Source organism: Homo sapiens, chromosome Y (assembly GCF_000001405.40).
Source record: "Homo sapiens chromosome Y, GRCh38.p14 Primary Assembly".
NCBI lineage: Eukaryota > Metazoa > Chordata > Mammalia > Primates > Hominidae > Homo > Homo sapiens.
This window is the reverse complement of record NC_000024.10, coordinates 20,506,971-20,531,935: the sequence shown is the minus strand read 5'-3', so window position 1 is coordinate 20,531,935 and position 24,965 is coordinate 20,506,971. Positions and strand designations below refer to the sequence as shown.

Here is a 24,965-nt window from a genome sequence, read left to right as displayed (position 1 = left end):
AGGATTTTTGCATCAATGTTCATCAGGGATATTGGTCTAAAATTCTCTTTTTTTGTTGTGTCTCTGCCAGGCTTTGGTATCAGGATGATGCTGGCCTCATAAAATGAGTTAGGAAGGAGTCCCTCTTTTTCTATTGATTGGAATAGTTTCAGAAGGAATGGTACCAGCTCCTTCTTGTACCTCTGGTAGAATTCAGCTGTGAATCTATCTGGTCCTGGACTTTTTTTGGTTGGTAAACTATTAATTATTGCCTCAATTTCAGAGCCTGCTATTGGTCTATTCAGAGATTCAACTTCTTCCTGGTTTTGTCTTGAGAGGGTGTATGTTTTGAGGAGTTTATCCATTTCTTCTAGATTTTCTAGTTTATTTGCATAGAGGTGTTTATAGTATTGTCTGATGGTAGTTTGTATTTCTGTGGGATCGGTGGTGATATCCTCTTTATCATTTTTTATTGAATCTATTTGATTCTTCTCTCTTTTCTTCTTTATTAATCTTGCTAGCAGTCTATCAATTTTGTTGATCTTTTCAAAAAAGCAGCTCCTGGATTCATTGATTTTTTGAAGGGTTTTTTGTCTCTATTTCCTTCAGTTCTGCTCTGATCTTAGTTATTTCCTGACTTCTGCTAGCTTTTGAATGTGTTTGCTCTTGCTTCTTTAGTTCTTTTAATTGTGATGTTAGGATGTCAATTTTAGATCTTTCCTGCTTTCTCTTGTGGGCTTTTGGTGCTATAAATTTCCCTCTACACACTGCTTTAAACGTGTCCCAGAGATTCTGGTATGTTGTGTCTTTGTTCTCGTTGTTCTTGTTTCAAAGAACATCTTTATTTCTGCCTTCATTTCGTTATGTACCCAGTAGTCATTCAGGAGCAAGTTATTCAGTTTCCATGTAGTTGTGTGGTTTTGAGTCAGTTTCTTAATCCTGAGTTCTAGTTTGATTGCACTGTGGTCTGAGAAACGGTTTCTGACAATTTCTGTTCTTTTACATTTGCTGAGGAGTGCTTTACTTCCAACTATGTGGTGAAATTTGAAATAAGTGCAATGTGGTGCTGAGAATAATGTACATTCTGTTGATTTGGGGTGGAGAGTTCTGTAGATATCTATTACAGAACTGAGTTCTGTGCAGAGCTGAGTTCAATTCCTGGATATCCTTGTTAAATTTCTGTCTCGTTGATCTGTTTAATGTTGACAGTGGGGTGTTGAAGTCTCCCATTATTACTGTGTGCAGTCTAAGTCTCTTTGTAGGTCTCTAAGGACTTGCTTTATGAATCTAGGTGCTCCTGTATTGGGTGCATATATATTTAGGATAGTTACCTGTTCTTGTTGAATGATGCCTTTACCGTTATGTAATGGCCTTCTTTTTCACTTTTGATCTTTGTTGGTTTAAAGTCTGTTTTATCAGAGACTAGGATTGCAACCCCTGCCTTTTTGTGTTTTCCATTTGCTTGGTAGATCTTCTTCCATCCCTTTATTTTGAGCTGATGTGTGTCTCTGCATGTGAAATGGGTCTCTCGATTACAGTACACTGATGGGTCTTGACTCTTTATCCAGTTTGCTAGTCTGTGTCTTTTAATAGGAGCATTTAGCCCATTTACCTTTTAGGGTAATATTGTTATACGTAAATTTGATCCTGTCGTTATGATGTTAGCTGTTTGTTTTGCTCGTTAGTTGATGTAGTTTCTTCCTAGCATCGAAGGGCTTTACAATTTTGCATGTTTTTGCAGTGGCTGATACCGGTTGTTCCTTTCCATGTTTAGTGCTTCCTTCAGGAGCTCTAGTAGGGCAGGCCTTGTGGTGACACAATCTCTCAGCCTTTGCTTGTTTGTAAAGGATTTTATTTCTCCTTCACTTATGAAGCTTAGTTTGGCTGGATATGATATTCTGGGTTGAAAATTCTTTTCTTTAGGAATGTTGAATATTGGCCCCCACTCTCTTCTGGCTTGTAGAGTTTCTGCCAAGAGGTCCGTTGTTAGTCTGACAGGCTTCCCTTTGCCGGTAACCCGACCTTTCTCTCTGGGCTGCCCTTAATATTTTTTCCTTCATTTCAACTTTGATGAATCTGACAATTATGTGTCTTGTAGTTTCTCTTCTCCATCTTTGTAGCGTTCTGTGTATTTCTTGAATTTGAACGTTGGCCTGCCTTGCTAGGTTGTGGAAGTTCTCCTGGATAATATCCTGCAGAGTGTTTTTCAACTTGGTTCCATTCTCCTCGTTAGTTTCAGGTATACCAATCAGACGTAGATTTGGTCTTTTCACATAGTCCCATATTTCTTGGAGGCTTTATTCATTTCTTTTTACTCTTTTTTCTCTAAACTTCTCTTCTTGCTTCATTTCATTCAGTTGATCTTCAATCACTGATACCCTTTCTTCCAGTTGATTGAATCAGCTACCGAAGCTTGTGCATTTGTCACGTAGTTCTCATGCCATGGTTTTCAGCTCCGTCAGGTCATTTAAGGATTTCTCTACACTGTTTATTCTAGTTAGCTATTCATCTAATCTTTCTTCAAGGTTGTTAGTTTCTTTGCCATGCATTCGAACTTCCTCCTTTAGCTCAGAGAAGTTTGATCTTCTGAAGCCTTTTTCTCTCAACTCGTCAAAGTCATTTTCCATCTAGCTTTGTTCCTTTGCTGGCATGGAGCTGTGTTCCTTTGGAGAGGGAGTGGCATTTTGATTTTTAGAATTTTCAGCTTTTCAGCTCTGTTTTTTCCCCATCTTTGTGGTTTTATCAACCTTTGGTCTTTGATGATGGTGATGTACAGATGAGGTTTTGGTGTGGACGTCCTTTCTGTTTGTTAGTTTTCCTTCTAACAGTCAGGACCCTCAGTTGCAGGTCTATTGGAATTTGCTGGAGGTCTACTCCAGACCCTGTTTGCCTGGGTATCAGCAGCAGAGGCTGCAGAACAGTGAATATTGCTGAACAGCAAATGCTACTGCCTGATCGTTCCTCTGGAAGCTTCCTCTCAGAGGGGTACCCAGCCATGTGAAGTGTCAGTCTGCCCCTACTGGGGGGGTGCCTCCCAGTTAGGCTACTTGGTGTTCAGGGGGTCAGGGACCCTCTTGAGGAGGCACTGTGTCCATTCTCAGAACTCAAACTCCATGCTTGGAGAACCACTACTCTCCTTGACGCTGTCAGACAGGGACATTTAAGTCTGCAGAGGCTTCTGCTGCCTTTTGTTTGACTATGTCCTGCCTCCAGAGGTGGAGTCTACAGAGGCAGGGAGGCCTCCTTGAGCTGAAGTGTGCTTCACCCATTTTGAGCTTCCTGGCTGCTTTGTTTACCAACCAGCAATGGTGGGCGCCCCTCCCCCAGCCTTGCTGCAGCCTTGCAGCTGGATCTCAGACTGCTGTGCTAACCATGAGCAAGGCTCTGTGGGTGTGGGACCCTCCAAGCCAGGCGCCTGGTATAATCTCCTTTTGTACCGTTTGCTAAGACCATTGGAAAAACTTTGTTAGCGTGGAAGTGACCCAATTTTCCAGGTGCTGTCTGTCACGGATTCCTTTGGCTAGGAAAGGGAATTCCCTTACCCCTTGCACTTCCCGGGTGAGGCGATATCTCACCCTGATTTGGCTCATGCTGCGTGGGCTGCACCCACTGTTCTGCCCCCACTGGCTGACAAGCCTCAGTGAGATGAACCTGGTACCTCAGTTGGAAATGTAGAAATCACCCGTCTTCTGTGTCGCTCAGGCTTGGACCTGTAGATTGGAGCTGTTCCTATTTGGCCATCTTGGAACCACCCCATTTCATCTCTCTTAAAACTCTCAGCCATGTACTGTGGCTCACGCCTATTATTCCAGCACTTTGGGAAGCCAAGGTAGGCAGATTATGAGGTCAAGACTTCGAAGCCACTCTGGCCCACAAGGTGAATCCCCATCTCTACTAAAAATATAAAAATTAGCTGGCCATGGTGGTGCACACCTGCAGTCCCAGCTACTCGGGAGGGTGAGGCAGGAGAATAATTTGAACCCTGGAGGTGGAGGTTGCAGTGAGCCAAGATTGTGGCACTGCACTCCTGCCTGGTGAAAGGGTGAGACTCTGTCTCAAAACAAAACAAAACACCCAAAAACTGTCTCCATCTCTACTCTGGTGTCATAATACTTCTTTCTAGGGACTCAAGATTCATTGATAAAGTTTGTGATTTTTAAAAGTCTGGATTTAAAAATTCTCTCTGTAGCTGTACCGATGAGAAACAAATAATTTAAAATGAAAATCAAAACAAAGACAAGGCACCAGAGAACTGATTTTTAATCAGCAATCCATCAAATATCTCCCTGAACTAGAGAAACTTACCAAAAGAGAAATGACATTGAAATTATCAAAATGAAACTCTTAAACATTGTTTGCCAAGTTTTCTTAGACTTCATCTAGTTACAAAGGATGGCCTGTTTTAGTGCACATTTTATATTGAATGGCCAAATTACATCAAGAAACATTTCATGTATAGTGCTCAAATAGTTATTTTGTTTTTATTTGTATTGCTTTATGTCAGGACCATGTTCATCTGTCACCTGGAATAGAGTACAGTGGTGCAATTTTGGCTTACTAAAACCTCTGCCTCCTGGGTTCAAGTGATTATCATGCCTCAGCCTCCTGAGCAGCTGGGACTATAGGCACATGCTACCATATCTGGCTAATTTTTAGTATTTTTTTTTTAGAGACAGGTTTCATACCATTGGCCAGGCTGGTTTTGAACTCCCAAGATCAAGTGATCTGCCTGCCGCAGGCTCCCCAAGTTCTGGGAGTACAGGTGAGAGCCATAGTGTCTGGTCCACAAATCGTTATTTTTAAAAGTCTACAACTATAAAGTATACATACTTTTGCTTACATATGTATTTTTTGCTTAGTTTGAATTGGCTGACTTTGCTACTAGTGTTGATATAAAAATTTTTATGCTGTTAACTAATTCAAGATTATCTTGATTATGAAAAAAGAGACCAATGAAATAGTTATTTTACTATTTTCTTTTCATAAAAACTGCTTTATCCACAGGGGAAAATAAACTTTAGCCTTGTGAGTGTCACAGAAAAACTTATTGGCTGGTGACTTTTTTGCCCAAGTTTGACTGGGGGCTGCTGGGCTCATTTTGCCTACTCAGCCTAGGTCACTTAGTTTCTCTGGTAAAAACCTGTTACATGGTTTTATTTCAGAGTGAGTCTTCTCTAATATATGTTTTGCCTCATGCTAGTGGCACCAAATTCCTAAATGAGCCTATGCTTGGCCTGAGATTTGAAGTTGAAAAGCACTTACTTCTCTAAGAATCACAGTCCCTTCCTTTGTTCTGGGTTGTAGTTTTAAAGGTTGTTTTCAGACATGTGGCCTGCATGCTGGAACTGTGGGCTTTTAATTCTCATTGGAAATCAAAAGTTTGGTGGCAAGAATAGAGGCTGTAGACTACAACTTCTGCTGTGAACAAGGTGACACCAAGTCACTTAGCCAGCTTTCTGGGTGGGATGCCCATGTGGTTTTAATGATTTGAGACAGCTTGTATTCCTGTAATTTGTCTCATGGATACTCTAAATATGTATCCAACTTAGGGGAAAAAAAGAGAGGAGTGGCTTCTAAAACATTATGGTTTTGTGAACATTACTGAAGCAATGTGTGGCAATTTCTATTGCATTTGTCTTTATCTTTTAGGACTTTAGAAAGAGAGCTGCACTAAAGACCACAAGAAAGAATGATAGCTTTATTCTGATTTTATGCTGAGACAGAAAGTTGTGAGGGGGTTTCTTGCAAAATGTCAGCGAACCTGCACACTGGGAGGAATGCACACTGAGATGGAGCCACGGAAGTTCATGACATTTGCAGTGGGGAGAAGCCTTGCCCCTCCTATTCCTGTGTAAAACCTGGGATTCAAACTGTGAGGCGGGAAGCAAATGAGAGGAACTCTAGCCTTGTGGAGAGTCCCTATTTTTCCTTTTTTAAAAAAATTTCACCCAATAAAGCCTTGCTTTACTCACCTTTCAAACCATCTGTGAGACTAAATTTTTGTGGTTATGAGACAAGGATCTTATCTTTAGCTGAACTAAGGAAATGTCCTGCGATATTTTTAGGCATGCCATGTGGGGCCTGAAGAAGTGGTGAGGAAAATAGGGAATCAAAACCTCTCACTGTGGTTTGTAAGCCTTTTTATCTTCGAACATCTGAGCTTAAGGGGTCTGGGTCCTTTACATGGCCTTCATTCCTTTTACAAGACGGACTAGTGAGCAGCAGTTTTTCACTTCTCCCCTCCCTGCTGGGCTGGGATGCATGACCCAAGGCACCCAGGGCATCTGGCTGGCATATTCTGCCACATGCCATGGGAGATTTCCCCTTCCCCAGCCAAGGGGTTTAACTCCATTGGACAGTAATTAAGCTCAAGCTTGTCTCCCTGATGGAGAAATCACCAGCACAAAATACATCAGAGAGTTATGATTTCCTTTTTCTCTCATCTCAATGGCTCCCACTCCACTTTTTACTGCTCTCAAGAGGAAGAAACACATGGTAGTGTACTTTATCTCCAGAAAGAATCAAACACACATTGCCAGAGCCTAGAGTTATTATAATTAAGTCAGAAAGCTTTCCCTTTCCCTTTACATTTCAGAAAGGTAATTGAGGTTGAAAAAAGGCACAACTCTCCCATGCAGGAAAACAGTTTGAATAGGGTAAAGTAAGAAAGCAGTCATTGGTTAATAGGAAGTTGCAAAGAAGACTGAGAACTGTCTCCTTTCAAAGGAAACAATATTTTTCTAGGTGAGAAAATATTTTTGTTCTAAATTAGATGTCAAGATGGGGGAAATGCATTTCCCAAGCATTTCTCTGCATCTCCTCTGAAGAAAGGCAATCTACATAAGCACTGTGGTCCAAAGAGACTTCCTAAGGTTTCAAAGCTGCAACTTGGATATTGGCCAATATCTAATATTGGGAAAGAGATGTTTCCAGGGAAAGATCTTATAAACTAGAAAATGTGAACCCCTAAAAATCATCCTGCTAGACAATCTGCATATTACTAAATATTTTCTAGACCAGCAGTACACTTAGCAAAGGGAATACTGTCTTGCATTCAATACTGAAACCAAAGAAAAGGAATAGGCAGAATAGAGTGAGAAGCAGGGCAGGATAGAATAACTTAACCTTCCATACCTGAGATAATCCAGTTTAAGATTTTCCCTCATCCATTCCTAGCTGCTATCCCCAGAAACCCCTAGAAGCCTACAGTAATGTAGTTCTAAGTTTTGAACATGGATTCTTTCTCAGTGTTCACGGTGGGAAATCTCTTGAGCAAGTGCCCCCCATTTTCTGTAATGTCCCAGGAACAAATGAAAATGCTACTGTTGGTTTTTACAGACAGGAATCCTAGGGGCAAGATATTCTGCCTCGGTTTGTTCATCTAATAGACAATAAAAGGAAAGAGAGAGAGAGAATACATTGAGGCTAGTGTATATGGATAAAATGCATCTATTTAATACACTAGTGGAACAAGTTGAAAAGCATATTAACATTTGACCACCTGTTCCTTCTATAGATAGGTTCGACAACATCACCAAGGACCAAACATTGTGGTAGATGTACATGCAATGTACATGCAGAGTACAGGTTGATGCCTGAATAAAGAGATGCTGGGTGAGTGTCTGAACCTAGATGACATGGAGGAGTCCTGCAGAAAATATTTGCTATTGAATTCAAAGGTCTATAGAGGTAAGAAAAAAAAGCATGTTATATAGCATCCTGCTAGAAGAGAAACCAGAGCAACTGCTTTTCAATTTTTTAGTGTGGTTACACCCTGTTTCTCTGGGAGTTCCTGCCACTTCCTCTTTCCCTTATAAAAGCCCTAGTAATGCATCATCTAAGAAAATAAATACTATAAATTAACTACTCTGGGGCTACAGAAAGTGTGTGGATTGAAGGAAAAAGTAAGACAAGCTTCCCATTCTCCCACTGGCACCACCAATGCAAACTAATTACAAATACATTAAAGCATTTTTTAATGATTTAAAGGCATTTTTGGCAATTCCATTATTGAGTGAACAATTTAGAGTTTACTTTCACAAATAAATATAGCCTACTACATGCCAAAGTTATAACATATAGCCTATCCATTGTAGGCTGCAATCCTATTTATTACTATACTAAATATTGAAGCCAATTATAACAAAGTAGTATTTTTACATCTAAGCATGTGTAAAAATTTAAAAAGTACAGTAAACATGTTATGTAGGATGTGAAATATGGTACACCTATATAGAGTACTTACAATGAGAGAAGAATGCAGGACAGAAAGATGTTCTGGGTAAGTCAGTGAGTGAATGGTAAATGAATGTGAAGGCCCAGTGCCCTGCTGTACACTACTATGCATTATAAATACTATATACTTAGGCTGCATTAAATTTATCTTATAAAGTGTCATTCTTCAAAAACTTACCAGATACTGTAGATTTTTCACTCCATAAACTTGGAAATTCTGTTAAAATTTATATTCTAATAATTTAACTTAAAATTATAATACAAGTATATTGTACTGGTGCACAAACAATATCTTATTTCTGTACATTCTTATGAATGTTTTTAATTTTTTTTTTACATTTACAACATTATAAAAACTGAGCTACAAACATGCATGTTGTACTAGGCCTGTACTGTGTTACATGTCAATATAGCCACTTTCCACCTTCACACCTTGTCTTACTGAAAGCTTTTCAAGTAAACAGGTGTGGAGCTGTCTTACATCTTTGAATGACAGGTGTGCAGCTGTTATCTCCCATGACAACAATGTATTCTACTGGAATAGTTGCTGAAGAATCTGTGTGAGGCTAACATCAACTTAACTTAAATAATAATAGAAGTTTATTCTGTTGATAGGCACAGGTTGCTTTCAGATATTAGCAATGGTGAACAGTGCTATAACAAACTCTTCAACACACTGATTTTCTTTCTTTTGAGTGTATACCCAGCAATGGGATTAGTTGACCATATGGTATCTCTATTTTTAGTTTTTTGAGAGACCTCAAAACTGTTCATACAAAGTTCCATCTTCTCCACATCCTTGTCAGAAATTGTTATTCCTGTCTTTTGGCTATAAGCCAATTTTTATTGCCTTTCTCCACATCCTTTTGGCTATAAGCCAATTGTTATTGCCTGTCTTTGTCCACATCCTTGTCAGAAATTCTTATTGCCTGTCTTTTGGCTATAAGCCAGTTGTTATTGCCTGTCTTTTGGCTATAAGCCAGTTGTTATTGCCTGTCTTTTGGCTATAAGCCAGTTGTTATTACCTGTCTTTTTGCTACAAGCCATTTTAACAGGCATGAGATGGTATCTCCCTGTAATTTTAATGTGCATTTCCCAGATGATTAATGATGTTGATGTTGCATTTCCCTGATGATCAGTGATTCACCAGGAATGTACTATTTTACATTCCTGTTTAATAGATGACCGGATCAAGAAAATGTGGTACAATGGAGTGGAGTACTATTTATGCATAAAGAAAATGAGATTCTGTTATTTGAAACATGGATGAAACTAGAGGTCAAGCATCACATGTTCTCACTTATTTGTGGGATCTAAAAATCAAAATAATTGGACTAATGGAGATAAAGAGTAGAAAGATGGTTGCCAGAGGCTCGGATGGGTAGTGGGGATGATGTGCGAGGGGGGGATGGGTACAAAAATAATTAGAAAGGAAGAACAGGACCTAGTATTTGATAGCACAACAGAATGGCTATATTTAATAATAATTTAACTGTATGTTTAAAATTACTAAAACACTTTAATTGAACTGTTGCCAATACAAAAGATAAATGCCTGAGGGGATGTATGTCGCATTCCTTATTATTGTGATTATCACTCTCTGCATCCCTGTAACAAAATATGTAATTTTCCCCATAAATATATATACCTACTATGTATCCACAAAATCTAAAATTTAAAATAAAAAATAGAAGAAACATATTCTAGGGTAATAATAAAAAAGTATGATATAGGCAATATGTAAGTCATTTGTTGTTAAAATAGTTACATTTTATTATTAAATTTTATGTATTGAGCATTTATATATATAAATATATGTTATATATTGTATTATGTAAATATATAAATGTTCCATACATAAAACTTAATAACAGGTAATTATTTTATATATAAATATATATTAAAATATGTTTTATATCATATATAATAGATAATATATTTTATATATAAATATGTATAATATATTAAATAATACTATTCTATTATATATGAGATATATTTTATGTTTTTTATATTTATATATTTAATATATATAAAATACATATATACATTTATATATTTATATATTATATATTTTTATATATAAATACATATGTATTTTAATGTGTGTGTGCATATGTGTATCTGTATGTGTGTATATATATATGCTAGACTCACAGGACTGGCAGTGAAGTAGAATATTTACCTCAGCAATGACACAAACATAATGAAGGCATGCTAACTTACAACTGCTACAACATGCCATGCTTTAAAAAAATTCAATCACATTGTAATCACTTTCCTTGGACTGGCAGTTACTCTCAAAAGCATAGAATACCAATTATGTTCTGTGGGAATTTTGTGTTTCCATTCTGGCTGCTTCTCATGAAGAAAAGTTAGTAATTTGAAGTAATATATTTTTATTTTATTTTTTCTGCACAGAGTTCTCAACTAATGAAAAATCATTGCATTATCTTGAGAGCAATAGCAATGATCATGCCAACAGTAATTCAGACTGTGTCATAAGTTGGGTCACACAGTCCCTATTTTCAAACTTTGTGGATGTCTGTCAACTGGCAGTGAATTGTATTCAGGAGAAAAGAAGTCTAAAGTAAGTAGTCCAAGTGTATGATGTCAAGAATCTGCCCATACTTGGTAGTCCCTTGCTACTGTACAATAATAGTGGTGCACATTTGAAGGACTGAGATGCCACTAACTCTCTGCTCCACCATTTTGGGGTCACAGTGCATATCAGTGGAGGGAAGCAAGTGTTTAGAGGGATCCTGGCTTTGGAAGACATTTGTGATGATGCTGGTTGAAAGCAAAAGCATACAGCACTCAGTATTACCAGGTGGTCTCCAATCTGAATCCTGGTTGATAAGATACAACTTTGCTCAAAATTTGCTTTTTATGGGGATGTATGTGGTGGCTTATGTCTTTAATCCTGGCACTTTGGGAGGCTGAGGCGGGCGGATCACGAGGTCAGGAGATCGAGACCAGCCAGTCTGGCCAACATGGTGAAAACCTGTCTGTACTGAAAATATAAAAATTAGCCAGGTGTGGTGACATGTGCCTGTAATCCTAGCTACTGGGGAGGCTGAGCCAGGAGAATCACTTGAACTCAGGAGAAAGAAGTTGCAGCGAGCCGAGATTGTGCAACTGCACTCCAGCCTGGGCAACCTAGTGAGACTCCGTCTAAAAAAATTTTTTTTTTTGCTTCTTAATCCTATTTTACGTAATACAGGGGAAAAGTTGAGTAGAAAATTCCAGAAGTGCCTTTCTTCCCATTGCAGAAGACAGAGGACCCCTGCACCTGACTTGCAGTTGTCTTCCACTGTGAGTCTCTCAGGAACCCAGAAGCCTGACCTTAGAGATTACACAATACTTCGTAGCTCAGTGTGTGTGCCAGGAAGTGTCAGGGTTTGAGCTTCCAATTCTTAAATTCCGCTTCATCTCAGGTACACTCCTGCTTTGTCTCTGACTGTTTTTCCTGCTAGGCCAATATATTAGGAGATGTCAAAGGGCTGAGAGTGTACCAGCCCAACTTAGCTGACCTTTCTTAGAGCCACTGCTTATCAACCAACTCAAGACCTGACACAGGACATTCCCTGGCTGATCAAAAAATAATGATAAGAGCTTTAAGGGAGGGGCACAATAAAAGGGTAAATCTCAAAGCAGGTGGCTGTACTTTGGGCTTGCTCAGGACATAATGTAACTGTCCTGGGTCTGGAAATAACTCAGATGGACTCACAGAGCAGACCCAGATACAAAGCAGACATCTGTAGGGGCTTTTACTACCCCATTCATGTTCATATATGCCATAGTAATGAATGTATTATAGGATGTGTTCTTGTTTGTTTTTCTTTCTATTTTTCTCTGTCTTTGTCAAGGAATCCCATATTTGCAAAGTCCCTTGCCCTTACTGCATTAGAAATGGGCATTAGAAATGGGACTGAATGTTGGGTCCATCTAGCATCCTGGGGCCTTGATTATAAATACAGTTTGTAAAATGGATTACAGAAGCAAATGAAAGATTGTTTACCGGCATCTTATTTGGTGGGGAGGAAATGTAATTCAGTACAGTAGTAGCCCAGGTTTTGTGGAGACAGAGGTACATTGGGGAAAGCTGGGGCTAGGAGTTTCTTATTGGGACCTTTAGTATATGGGTGAATTTTGTCAGGGTCTGGTATGCGGAAAGATTCATAGAAGTAGTTGTCAGCAGACAAAAGAGATTTGTCAGCAAACTAAAAATCTCATACCCTGAGACAGTGATGGAGGAAAGAAACTTGTCAGGAAGGTTTTCTAGAAGATGCTGCATTCTGCAGTGGACATTTTCACAGCTGAAAAATAAGTGGCAACATCCTAAGTACTCATAATATCAAGGTGGTAAAATCCTGCTCTGCTTTTGAGCAAGATGATATAAGTGAATCAATACATTCATGCTATTAAGGTTATAGGTTTTTACAGCTTTCACTTGCATGAAAAAACATGTTGTCTATGCTTCTGCAGTTCTCAGGGCAGTGAACCTAAGCCAGGAGCTGCTTAGGCATTAAGGCTTCTATACCCAGAATCGTGTGCTAAGCTTTCTCTCCAAGTCAGCACAACAAAGCAAACCAGAGCATCGTACCAACAACCTGAAAGGTCACCTGACTCCTTCCTTCTCACTCCCATTCTGTACTTCTGCATACGTGGGCAGGCAAGTGAATGGTAAGTAAGCCTGCAAACAGCCTTTCTTTGTATAGGGAATGACAGGCATTTCATCAGCAACTCCAGGATGGCAGGCCGTTATCCTGAAACCTATCAGAACAGCTCCTGCTTGGCTTCCAAAATATCACAATTTTGGAAATGTACAAAGGTTAGTTTTCACAGTCCTTGAAGCCTCTTTCCACCCTGGCCATAGCCCATGTCAGCAGTAACCTATGTCTTTGTTTTACATATCATGTTGTTTTACTCACCTGGTGCCTCCAGTGCCCTATAGGGTCCCTGAGCTGTCCTGATACTCTTTCTTAGATCCTGTCAAAACACTCACTTCAACAAATTCTGCCCTTGGACTCTGATGGGAGGTTCTGATAAAGAAAATTATTGAAAACCGCATTATTTAAATGTGGTTATATTTCAGCTGGACCTGGAAATAAAGACGAAATACTGCTTCGTGACTGTGCTTTAAGGAATTTTTGCTTCTAGGAGATGATTGTGAGCCAGGCAGAGGTGAAGGAGCAGGAGCAAATAGCCAAGGCACAGTTCACAGTGCTGGATTTTCTTGTGGATATAGCTGCATTGTTGTTCCTTCTGCCTTGTCCAACTGCTTCCTGGTATCCCTACCCTCACCTTTTCGTTATCTTTTCATCTCTCTAATCATTGAGAAAAAGAGTACAAAAAGCCAGATTTTGCAGTTCCCTATTTTGTATTCCAGGTTGAAGAGTGCTCTGGCTGTAGAGGGTCCCCACGATCTGTCATCTAGTAACTCACCAGGTGGGTTTTGGATTGATTTCAGAGAGCCCAAGACAGTTGCCATGCTTACACAGTTGTGCCAGGAGATGCTGACTTTCTAATGTCATCACCATGGCCCAGTTTAGTTCCTTGCTGCTCTTTCTGTCTGACCCCAATTTGACACACTCGCTGTAAGTAGATAGCTCACCCATAGTCCTGCTAACCCATCACTTTAACCATGATGGAAATTCCCAATAATAACACCTTGAACCCTGACATTGAGGTTGCTGCCTTCTAGTAACAAAATTTAGAGAGCATTTGTGGAAGAGACTGATGAAAAGAGTAGCTCTCACCGAATGGTGTTAAGGCTTCATTTAACTGGTTCTCCTTTTTGTAATTTGTCTCTAGTTTCTCTTCTCTATTACCTCTCCCAGAAAAGGAGCCATCATCCTGAATGGGAGGAGGGCAAAAGACTTCCAGGTAGTCATATTCTAGATGGGTCTGATTTGTCTGGGTGATGCCACTTGGCAACCCAGCAGTGAGAGTGAGTGAGAGAATTAAAACAGCAATTGCACCTTGAAGGTCAATAGTAGCAAGGCTTTTTCTCATCAATGGCCAATAGATGCCTGGTGATGAATCTTTTGGGGTATAAAAAGCAGAAAAAGGCTAAATGATAAAAAATATGCTGTTTGAGCTTTTAAAAAAAGAACAACATGGGTGAACATTTAATTTTGGCAATTTACCTGTATGAAGCAATGCATAGAAGTATTGCTGGATGGGTGCTGGTCATCAAAAAAAAAATGACCATGGGAGGAAGTAACACACACAATTTTTATTTCAGATTGTTGGATGAGAGGAAAAGACTCTCACAGTATGAGACTGAAGAGAGTTGAGGTGCAGGAATTATCATTCAAGTGCTAAATAGGTTAAGGTGATTTTGAATAAAGAAGAGAGTCAAAGAGAAATTATATCTAAGTAATGTTGCTGAAAAGACCATTACATTGGGATATAAAAGGAATTTACATCCCAAAGTTCCAAGTTCACTGCTGGTCTTGGGGTTGCGCAGAAAAGTTTCTATTTTATCTGAAACACATATTTAGCAAAGTTTTTGGGGCATTTCAAACCAAAAGAATATAATGGCTAAAATCTGTTTATTTTGACTTCCTTTATAAATATAACTGGATATATAAAACAATAGCTTTGCTTCTGGAAGGGTTAGGCTGCAGTGAAAAAAATAAGTTACTTGGTGACCAGTAAACAAACAGAATCCCTCATTGGCTCATTTGTATATTAGTTATTTATACATCATATGTTGGCAGTAATGGAGGAATGACAGCATATTATTGAAGACGAGAATACAGGCATGATTGCGGAGTGCTGGGACACAGGAACATATAAAAAGTAATTATGGACCAGATGGCAATGCATACACATAGTTGGAATTTTACTATATGTACATAATTGAGAGGAAATAGTTGTAGAATATTAAGGCCATATCCTTAACAGATGTGAAAGTTATAGAGATAAGGAAAAATTATATGAGATAAAATATTGAAAGACAAATAAAACATTTATATTGACATCAAGTGATTATCATCATTTGGAAAACTGGAGGAGAAACAAGGTTTAGTTATTAAAGGAAGAGGGTAAAGAGAAATTTCCAAAAAAACACAGAAAGACAAACCTATTTAGTTGTTTTATAAGACTTTAACAACTAAAGCACAAAGTACAGAGGCAAAAGAAATACAGAATTGTGAAACAGATATTTATTGAAATATAATTATGTCTTTCTTTATTGATTCCTCAGACAAGGGGTTGAGAAATTTTGGCCTGTAGCTAGCCACCGTCTACCTGTTTTTATACAATCAAAGAAATAAGATTATTTCTTTACAACTATAAATCACTAAAAAAATGGTCACATAAACATTTTCATTAAATTCAAATTTAAGTGACCATAATAATATGTATTAAAGCATAGCTATGCCCTTTCATTTACGTGTGGATGTTTAAGTAGTTACAACAGAGTTGAATAGAGCTTTTACCTATTTGTACTGCTTCTTGGTGCACTACCAATCACATTAATGCAGTTGTACTGCAGTAGTGTCAAAGTCCACATGGATTTCATGGGGTTTCACTTTGTTTTTTGCTTCTTTCTACTACTGTATATGAGTCACATTTGCACACGTACAACACATAAAGCAGCATTGGGATGAGGCACTGAGCTTCTTGGCAAAGAGTCACACCAAGACTTACACATAAGAGACTTTGGTGCCAAAACCAGACAGACAATGTCCTTTTTCCAAGTGACCTAGAGGAGTGGATTAAAATAATCCACTCATACTCACTACACTGAGCATGTGGACAAGTCAGTAAAGATGCCTTCTGTGGTATGTAATAAAGAAGTTCCAGTGCAGACTGGTTTACCTTCTAAAATTTTCATCCCATACACAGTTCTATTAAAACAGCAGATAGTCTAAAGTGTGAATGATGGCCACACTCTGCCGGAGCAGAAGCAGGAGGCCATAGTCTCAAAATTTTTTAGGAACAAAAGCCAGAATATATTTAGGTATATAAGATGAAAGGTAATGAACAGGAGAGTGGTGAAAAACAATACACAGCCAAAATCTGGCTTTTTTATTTTATGTGATGTGAATGGTTCCAGGTATGACACTAGGCCAGAGAGATACATTGTAATATTTAATAACATGTTATCTGGCCTTACTCACTCTTTGCTGTACCAGTTTCTCAGGGATCTACAGTGACACTGCTCAAAAATGCCAGAAGATACCATTCTAGAAAAAGAAATAACTTGTTTCCATACTATTTGCGTAGCAAGTAGAGTTAGATACAGGGACTGTGCTATACATGGGCTAGACTCTTTTCTAAGCATATTTAGCATGAGATCATACAACCATATGTCTCCCAGACTTTCAACATTTTTCCTTTGCAGATACCACCATAGTTATGTAAAGGGAAGACAGAACTAGCCTGTGCATCAGAAACAATAACTCTGACTTTTTTTTTAAATTATACTTTAAGTTTTAGGTTACATGTGCACATTGTGCAGGTTAGTTACATATGTATACATGTGCCATGCTGGTGCGCTGAACCCACTAACTCGTTTTGTATCACAACCTTTTGTTTTCTAAATGTCCACAAATATCATATTGAACTGAGTACTACCTTGTACCTAAACTATGGTCTATTTCATAACAGCCTTTAACTCTGTACTCAGAGGAAGTCAATAAAGTCCAATGGCATATAACCTGTGGCCTAGAGAAGCTTCTTGAGATTCTAATACTCCACTTGGTAGAGAGGCAGATATCTAATATTAGAAACTGGAGTTAAGAACAAGGATAAACTAGGAAACACAGTATAACCGAGGAAATCCAGGTTAGGTGGCAATACTCTGCATCCTATTTTTTTTTTAATCAAGTAGTACAATTTCCAAAAGAACTACTCTGCTGCCTTTAAAGTCAAGAGCACGAGAAGAGGTTGGAAATAATGTAGTAAAAAGATGAGCAGAATAAAGCATCTCCACTCTATACTTGAGCTAGTGCATGTTATCACCATTTCCTTTTCAACGAGGTTTGCAACAAATTCAGTAAGTACCAAGCATAGCCATGGAATTGCATATGCAATATAAGTGTAAAATGCAGATTGCTTCCAAAATAAATAGAAAGTGGATGGGTGTCTGGAAGTAGTGCTAGTGTTCATGACTGACCACTGACTACAGTTGGTAAATATTAAATTCATGTTTCTGTCAAAGAAGACAAGGCAACATGTTTTATACTGTGCTGCTGGAGGAGGAACCACATCTGTTGATATTGTATTTCAAGTGTGGTTGCATCATGTTCCTTTGATAGGTCCTTCCACATTCTCTATTTCTTTATACTACATCAATGAGAAATGATCACAGAAGGGATAATATGACAAATTAACTTCCCCGAATTTACAGCAAGTGTGTGCGCTAAGGGAAGAAGTAAGACAAAATTCTCTCACTCACATTTCTACCAATTCAGGCTAGTTAAAAATACACTCAAGCATCAATTAATGACTTGAATGCATTGTGGAGCAATTCTGTAATTGGCTGAACATTTTAGAGTACATTCACAAACAAGACAGGATACCTTGCACTACATGGTATACCACACTATATGGTATAGATTTGTAGACTATAAACTTACATAGCAGGTTACTATACTAAATATTGTAGGCAGTTATAACACAATGGTATTTATTATCTAAACATATGAAATACTGAAAAGGTATACTAAAAATATTTTGGAAGGAGTACAATGTGGTATAACTGTTTAGGGAACATACTTAAATGCATGTCCTAAAATGCAGATTTTAGGACTGAAAATTGTTCTGGATGAGTCAATAATTGGCAAATTAATATAAAGGCCAAGGACATTAGTGTAAACTACTATGACATAAATATTGTATGCTTAGAATATATACATTTATTAAAACTACCTTTCTTTAATAGTAAATGAACCTCTGCTACTGTAACTTTTTACTTTACAAACTTTTAATTTTTGTTTAAAGTTTAGATTTTTTAAATTTTATTTTTTCTTTTTAAAAATTTTATTTAGGGTTTTTGTTTTGTTTTGTTTTTAAGGTAAAGTCTCACTTTGTCACCCAAGCTGCAGTACAGAGATGCAGTCATAACCCACTGCTACCTCAACCTACCAGATTCAGCCTCCCTAGTAGCTGGAATTACAGTCACTGTAATTACACTGGCTAATTATTATAGTTTTTGTATAAATAGGACCTTGCCCTGCTTCCCAAGTTGTTCTTGAATACCTATGCACAAGCATTCCTCACCTCAACCTCCCAAAGTGCTGGGACTGTGGGTGTGAGCCACCATGCCCATGCTTGACCCTCTTTAAATGAAATTTAGGTTAAAATAAATGTATTATACAGATGAATAAACATTAATTTTATATTCAATAATATAAGCTTGTATCTGCTCTTATAATGGTTACTTAATTTTTTCCATGTAAATCATTTTTTAAAATATAAAGCATGAGCACACACATTAGCCTTGTATTATGCAGAGACAGGGTCTTCAATATTATTGTCACCCCCTCCACATCTTGTTCCACTGGATGGTCTACAGGGCAGTAACACACATGCAGGGGTCACCTCCTATGTTAACAATGCCTCCTACTGAAATATTTCCTGTACTGGAATATCTCCTGATATGTCTTATACTTAACTTTTTTTTTTTGTAAAGAGTAGGAGTATATGCTAAATAATAGTGAAAATACAGTATAGTCAGTACAGTACATACCAGTACATGGATGGTTGTTATCATTAATAAGAATTATGTATTGTATGTATGTAATATGTATGCTAGACTCAAACAATTGGCAGTGCAATCAGTTGTTTACACCAGTGTCACCACAAAAACTTGAGGGATGCGATGCTACCTCAGAGCCGCTATGGCATCACTAAACAATAGGAATTTTTTAGTTGCATTATAATCTTATGAGACCTCCATTGTATATATTCCAATCATTGAACTTAGTCATTGGCACATGACTGTATTGAAAAGTATTATGTTTATAGGAATGAAGACCTGGTAGGTAGCCACAGTGGCAAGGGTCCTACAGCTACCTTTGACCCCAAATGACCAAGGCATTATCTGGACAAGTCTCTTTTCAGACCCTCTCTCTCTTTTCTATCCAGCTATAGCCTTTGTGAAATAGATAACAGAACTGCTGGTTCTACCTTGTTCTAATTGCCCAGCTTGGCGAGGATGGGAAGGGTGTTAGCAAGCCACCCCAAAATAACCTGCTACCTGCAAAGGGATAATATGCCTCCACCACTCCCTTCTCTAGAGTCTTTAACTTCTCTTATTCTGTACTCACTTGAATCATACAGCTAGGCCTCCCTGCTTCTGACCAAATTCTGTAAGATTAGGGTTGTTTGGTCTGAGAGTGCAAAACCCAGACACGCTTCTAGTCTTTTTTGGTCATAGGTGCAGTACAGTCAAACTCCAGGCCAACCTATTTGGTAGGCATAATATTTGAATATTTATTCAACCAAAATGTCTTTTTTTTTTTTTTGAAAGCAGCTCAAGACCTCAAAGCAGAGTGGTCATGGGTCAGGCTTTCATAGGACATGAAGCCACTGCAACAAGGCTGGGAGTATAACCTGACTGGACCCAAGCAGTAGACCCAGATGGGCAGCAAAACCTCTGAAGTCCTTTGTTGTCTAATTCCTGCCCAAAGATGCTAAAAATAGTATTCTGGGATGTGTCCTTGTTTCTTTTGTTTCATGTTTTCTTTCTTTCTTTTTAAGGGGACCCTATGATTACAGAAAGTGGTTTACCATTCTCTGAGATCACTAAAGAGAAGTACAAGACAAGAAATTTAATTTAGCATCATGAGGTCTTGATTACATACACAGTTTATGAGATAGGTTACAGAAGCAAAGGGAAGTTTGTTCACCTGGTAATTCCCTATGGTCTGGCGAAAATGTCATTCATTGAAAAAGCAGCCCTGCTCATGTGGAGACAAAAGCTGTATTGGGAAAGGCTGGCACAACAGTCTTTAATTTGCATCTTAAGGCAAGGGTAAGAATGGCCAGTGTCTAGTATTGGAGGAAAATAACATTAAGAAGTCTTTGTAAAAAGACAAAAGAGCCTTTGGTATTAGAGTCAGATTTTAGGATTGATGGGCAGAATAAAGATTTACACATGCAAGGATGGTGGTGGAAGAAAAAAATTTGTTAGAACATTCTTTTTGCAGAGGGACCATTTCACAGCTGGAAGAAAGATGGCACAACTTTAAGAACACAGGGCACCAAGACTGTAGGATCCTGTTTTTATGAATCCTAATGACAAAAGGGATTCAATGCATGCAGAGAGTAAAAGCCAAAGATATATGCAGCCTTTTCGTGTATTCAATAGCCAGTAATGCTTGCTCCTGCAGGCCCCAGTCTGATGGATATAGGCTAAGGGCTTCTATGTGGAACTGCTTCTGTAACCTGACCCATGTATGCCTGAAGCTGTCTGTCAAGGCTGGACTGAGAAGCCACGTAAGAGCACAGTCACAACAAAGAGGCAGGTTACCTTTCTGCTTTGGCCTCTAGAAGAGGTTGTGGGATGGTGGGTAGACCACAAGCATTTAAGATTTAGCATTGCTAAGGGCAGGCTGTGTCCTGTCCTGGAACTGATTAGACCCATTTCTGGTTGGCTGCCAAAATTCCAAGGTTTCAGGAATTCTCAGAGGTTCAGGGCCACTGTCCTTGAAGCTTCCTTCCTTCTTGGACAAATTTGAGGTCATCACTTACCCATCTCTGTTCTAGGCATTATCTTGATTAACTTAATATAAGCTGCTGTATCCTCAAAGGGCCAATGGGCTAGCTACTCTGTTGTTAATTCGCAGAAATCCTCAGAACAACCACCTCAACAATAGTGCCTTAGTGCTACTCTGATAGAAAAGTCTGAAGATAAAAGCTTCATATTGATATTTGGTAATGCTTGTGCTGGACCTGACCGTAAAGATAGGGATTCTACTTACTTACTGTGCTTTAGAAGGTCAGGATATTGACTTCTTGGGGACACCAATGGGCCAGGGACAGGCTGGTAGGCAGAATCCTGGAGCACAGCATGTCCAAGTGGGCTAGCTTCGGTTTTGGCTGTGGCCAAAGCACTACTCCTTCTGACTTAATCCAAATGTTCTCCCTTGTCTTCATCTTTAAACTTCTTCCTTTTTTTTTCTTTTTTTTCATCTTGAGCAGAAGCAAGAAAAGTGAGTTGAGCCAGTCCCACACAGTGCCCTCCTGTGCCTCACAAGAGAAAGTGCTCTGGCATCCCATGGTCCATAGTTTATCTCATCCTGAGACTCACCATGTCAGCCTTGAATTGGCTTCCGAGGTTCTAAGGCTTAAGTCCTACTCATATTTTTGTGGCAGAAGGTTCCAACACTGTGGCCATCATCATAGCCCAGTTTTGTCTTCTGATGTTCTTTCTAACTCAAACTTGACTAACAAACCGTTAGCAGACAGCCCACCCATAGTCCTTGTTCTGCTAACTCATTGCTTAGAATTCCCAATAATCACATGGAAAACAAAGACTCTATCATGGGTCCCTTCTGGTCTAGGAGAAGAGAACTCCTGAGAGAGAATTAAGAAGTGCAGCTCTCACGGCAAGTCTTTTATCATAGGTTTTTCTCTTTGTATCTTTATTGTATTTTCTTTTCTCTGTCTTCTTCCTGCAGTCTCCTTCTTTTCCTTCTCTCTGTCTCCCGTGATAAAGAGGGAGAGAAGGGAAAGACAGCTCCTTAGTGGGGTGTATCCTATAATGCACTTAAAAGTCTAGGTGATACCTCTTAGCAACTTACCATGGAAACTCCAGGTGAGAAAATTTCAAGAGAAATTGCACTTGAAAGCATATAGCAACAAGCCTCTATCTTATCAATATTTAACAGCTCCTGAATAAAGCTGGAGGGGTTTAAATAACCAAGAAAATTGTAAATGCTGAAAAGGTGTCATTTTGGCTTTTAAAAATAACATGATATGTAAATATTTGAATGTAGCAATGCACCTGTGAGCTAACAGAGGTAGAATGATTGTTGAAGAATAAATGATATGAGAAGTAGTAAAGAAAAACAAATTCATTATGGCTGTAAATACCACACAACAATCTTTATTGTGCAATTTTGCATAACAGATAAAGACCCTCACAAATTGAGATTGTACACAGGATAAAGGTGCAGATTTTTCAATTCAGTAAAGCTGAATTAAGTAAGGTTATTTCTGGATAAGACAAGAGTTTAAGAAGATGTATGTCACTGTGATGGTGCTTCAAAACCCTTCCAGAAATTAAGTTTTAAAAGCTCTACTTCTAATGCTGGCTTAGCATCATATAATAAAATCATTTATTTAATATTCAGCAAATGCTGAGCCAAGTTTATGAATTTGCACACCAAGAAAATCTAATGTCTACATTCTACTCATTGAAACTCATTTAAACATAGCTAGATGTGCAAAATTTTGTCTCTTGTGCCAGTAAAATTTGAGCTAACAGCTCTCAGTCTGCGGTTAAAAAAAATAAACAACTTAAGAGATGCTACACAGTGGTTGTTTTGACTTATTTATCAGTTTTTTCTATATCAGATTGGCAGTAATGGAAGAAATAGAGTATATTGTTCAGAGCTAGAAGGAAGAAACACAGGAAATAATGGGTGAGCTAGGACAGAGGACCTCTTAAGAAATGGTGTCACGTCTTGGATAAAGACTCTTAGGCAGAGATCAAATTTGTATCACTGGAAGGAGGTAGGAGTGGTGAGATAAAGTCATATGCTTACAGGGTAGACACTTTGTTGAAGAGGAGAAAACATTGGGAAAAACAACTGAAAGTTAAGGATAACATGTATTTTAAATGCAGATAATTATCATTATGTAAGAAAACTCAGAAATGACAGTGTCAGCTTAAGAAAAAAAAGGTGAAGATATCAGAAATAAAATCACATTGGAACAGCCCCATGCTATTTACATATGGAGAGTTACAACATAGTGTATAAAGCTCTCATGTCTTTGCACTGCTGCTTAGGACATTACAAATCACAGTAAAGCTGTTTTAACTTAAAAGTGTTTCAAAGGACATAAAGATTTCATAGGGATTTGGTTTATCTTTTGCTTCTCACCACTGTACATCAATTACACCCCCACACAAACATATAACCTCACACACATAGAAACTGCTGATTGTCAGACATGGTGCAGAGTGAATAGTTTTGATATTAAGTTAAATGGCAAATCTTTGTGTTCATTGTACAATAACATTTTAGCTGTTAAAAATAGAAGATAGAGGATGATAAAAGCAAGATGGTGAAATATGAGGTCACCATTTTGTGTCTCTTCAAAACAGAAGAATTCTGCACCCATCCACGGACATAAGTTTCTTTATTTCTTGATAAAGTGATTGGGATTCAGCTGTGAGATTTGTAAAATGCTGGTGTAGCCCAAGAACTATGATTTTTGAGACTGCAAATAAACATTCATGTGGCAGACATGCCATTTGTTCTCTTTAATTTGGACTCAAGAGTAGCCCCTTTGGCTGGGTAAATTCACATGTATTCTGGGAGCCTAATCACAAAACTATCTTCTACAAGATGCAGAAGAATCATGTGCAGTAGAGCCTAAACAGAATGAAATCTGCCTGCTGACCCTTGTCTTGGCAGTGGACCCTGATGTTATTTTGTAAAATAGATTCTCTCCTTTTTAAGGCATCGTTTCAGGTATTTTTTCTCCCCTCAGGAGCCTAAAGGGAACTCATCTATCTGTGCCACCAGGATTGGCTTGCCTCTCTATTCAAGAGCAGGTCCATTCTGTGGTAGGCAGAGTTTCTATGCCTGTGTAGCGAACACCTAAGCAATAAACCCAGACAAGCTTGCCTGCTTCCATCTGTCAGCAGTTACTGATGAGTCTCTGTGTTAGCTTCACTGCCAAAGTCCCAAATTTACTCTGTATCAATAGAGAATTATTATAAGTTACAACTAGATAGTCTTGAAGTCCCTTAAGCCAAAGAATATTCTGGAAGGTAACTGATTAGATTGACAACAGCATCTCTTAACTGGTATTTGTGAGCAATTTTGCCTGCAAAAGAAATTTCTTGGTGTTATATCAAAAAAGCCACCATCTCAAGATGGTGTACAAAATAGTTTTTGTTTTTGATCTTAATCTCAATTTCAGCTCCCCCAGCTATACTCTGGGAAAATTTAAAACCTAAGAAACAACACACGGGATTTCTTACCAAACTTGTTCACTGGTGACTTTCAGTCAGTCCTCTAATATATATATAGATCTCAATATTTGATCTCTATTTTTGTTGTTTGCAGATACATAAGATATTTTGCCTGCTATGAAGCCATTGGAGAATCAGGTCCAGCTGTGTCCTACAGATTTATACCCTCACTTTGGATGCACTGTGAATCTTGAAACAAGTATGTAAATAGAATCCAGCCCCTCTCTGCCACAGCCTCAGAGCAGGATTGGTAACTCCAAAAGACACCAGGACACATCCTAATTTTCTTAAATTTTATTTATTTGTTTATTTATTTATTATTATTATACTTTAAGTTTTAGGGTACATGTGCACAATGTGCAGGTTAGTTACATATGTATACATGTGCCATGCTGGTGTGCTGCACCCACTGACTCGTCATCTAGCATTAGGTATATCTCACAATGCTATCCCTCCCCTCTTCCCCCCACCCCACAACAGTCCCCAGAGTGTGATGTTCCCTTTCCTGTGTCCATGTGTTCTCATTGTTCAATTCCCACCTATGAGTGAGAATATGCGCTGTTTGGTTTTTTGTTCTTGC

The 24,965-nt window shown here is 38.5% G+C and overlaps 1 long non-coding RNA gene across 13 annotated transcripts in view; it reads left to right on the top strand.

Annotated features, from left to right (window-relative positions):
• The window catches only part of TTTY10 (testis expressed transcript, Y-linked 10), a 110,070-nt gene that overhangs the window by 43,580 nt on the left and 41,525 nt on the right, over window positions 1-24,965 (top strand). For 2 of the 13 annotated variants that reach the window (NR_197946.1, NR_197944.1), the window contains exons 2-6: window positions 7,496-7,668; window positions 10,636-10,804; window positions 12,936-13,048; window positions 13,607-13,665; window positions 24,480-24,584. This is a non-coding gene — a long non-coding RNA (testis expressed transcript, Y-linked 10). Of the gene's footprint in view, window positions 1-7,495; window positions 7,669-10,635; window positions 13,666-24,479; window positions 24,585-24,965 lie in introns of all 13 variants that reach the window. The other 11 variants (NR_197945.1, NR_197935.1, NR_197941.1 and 8 more) reach the window with 7 other exon arrangements.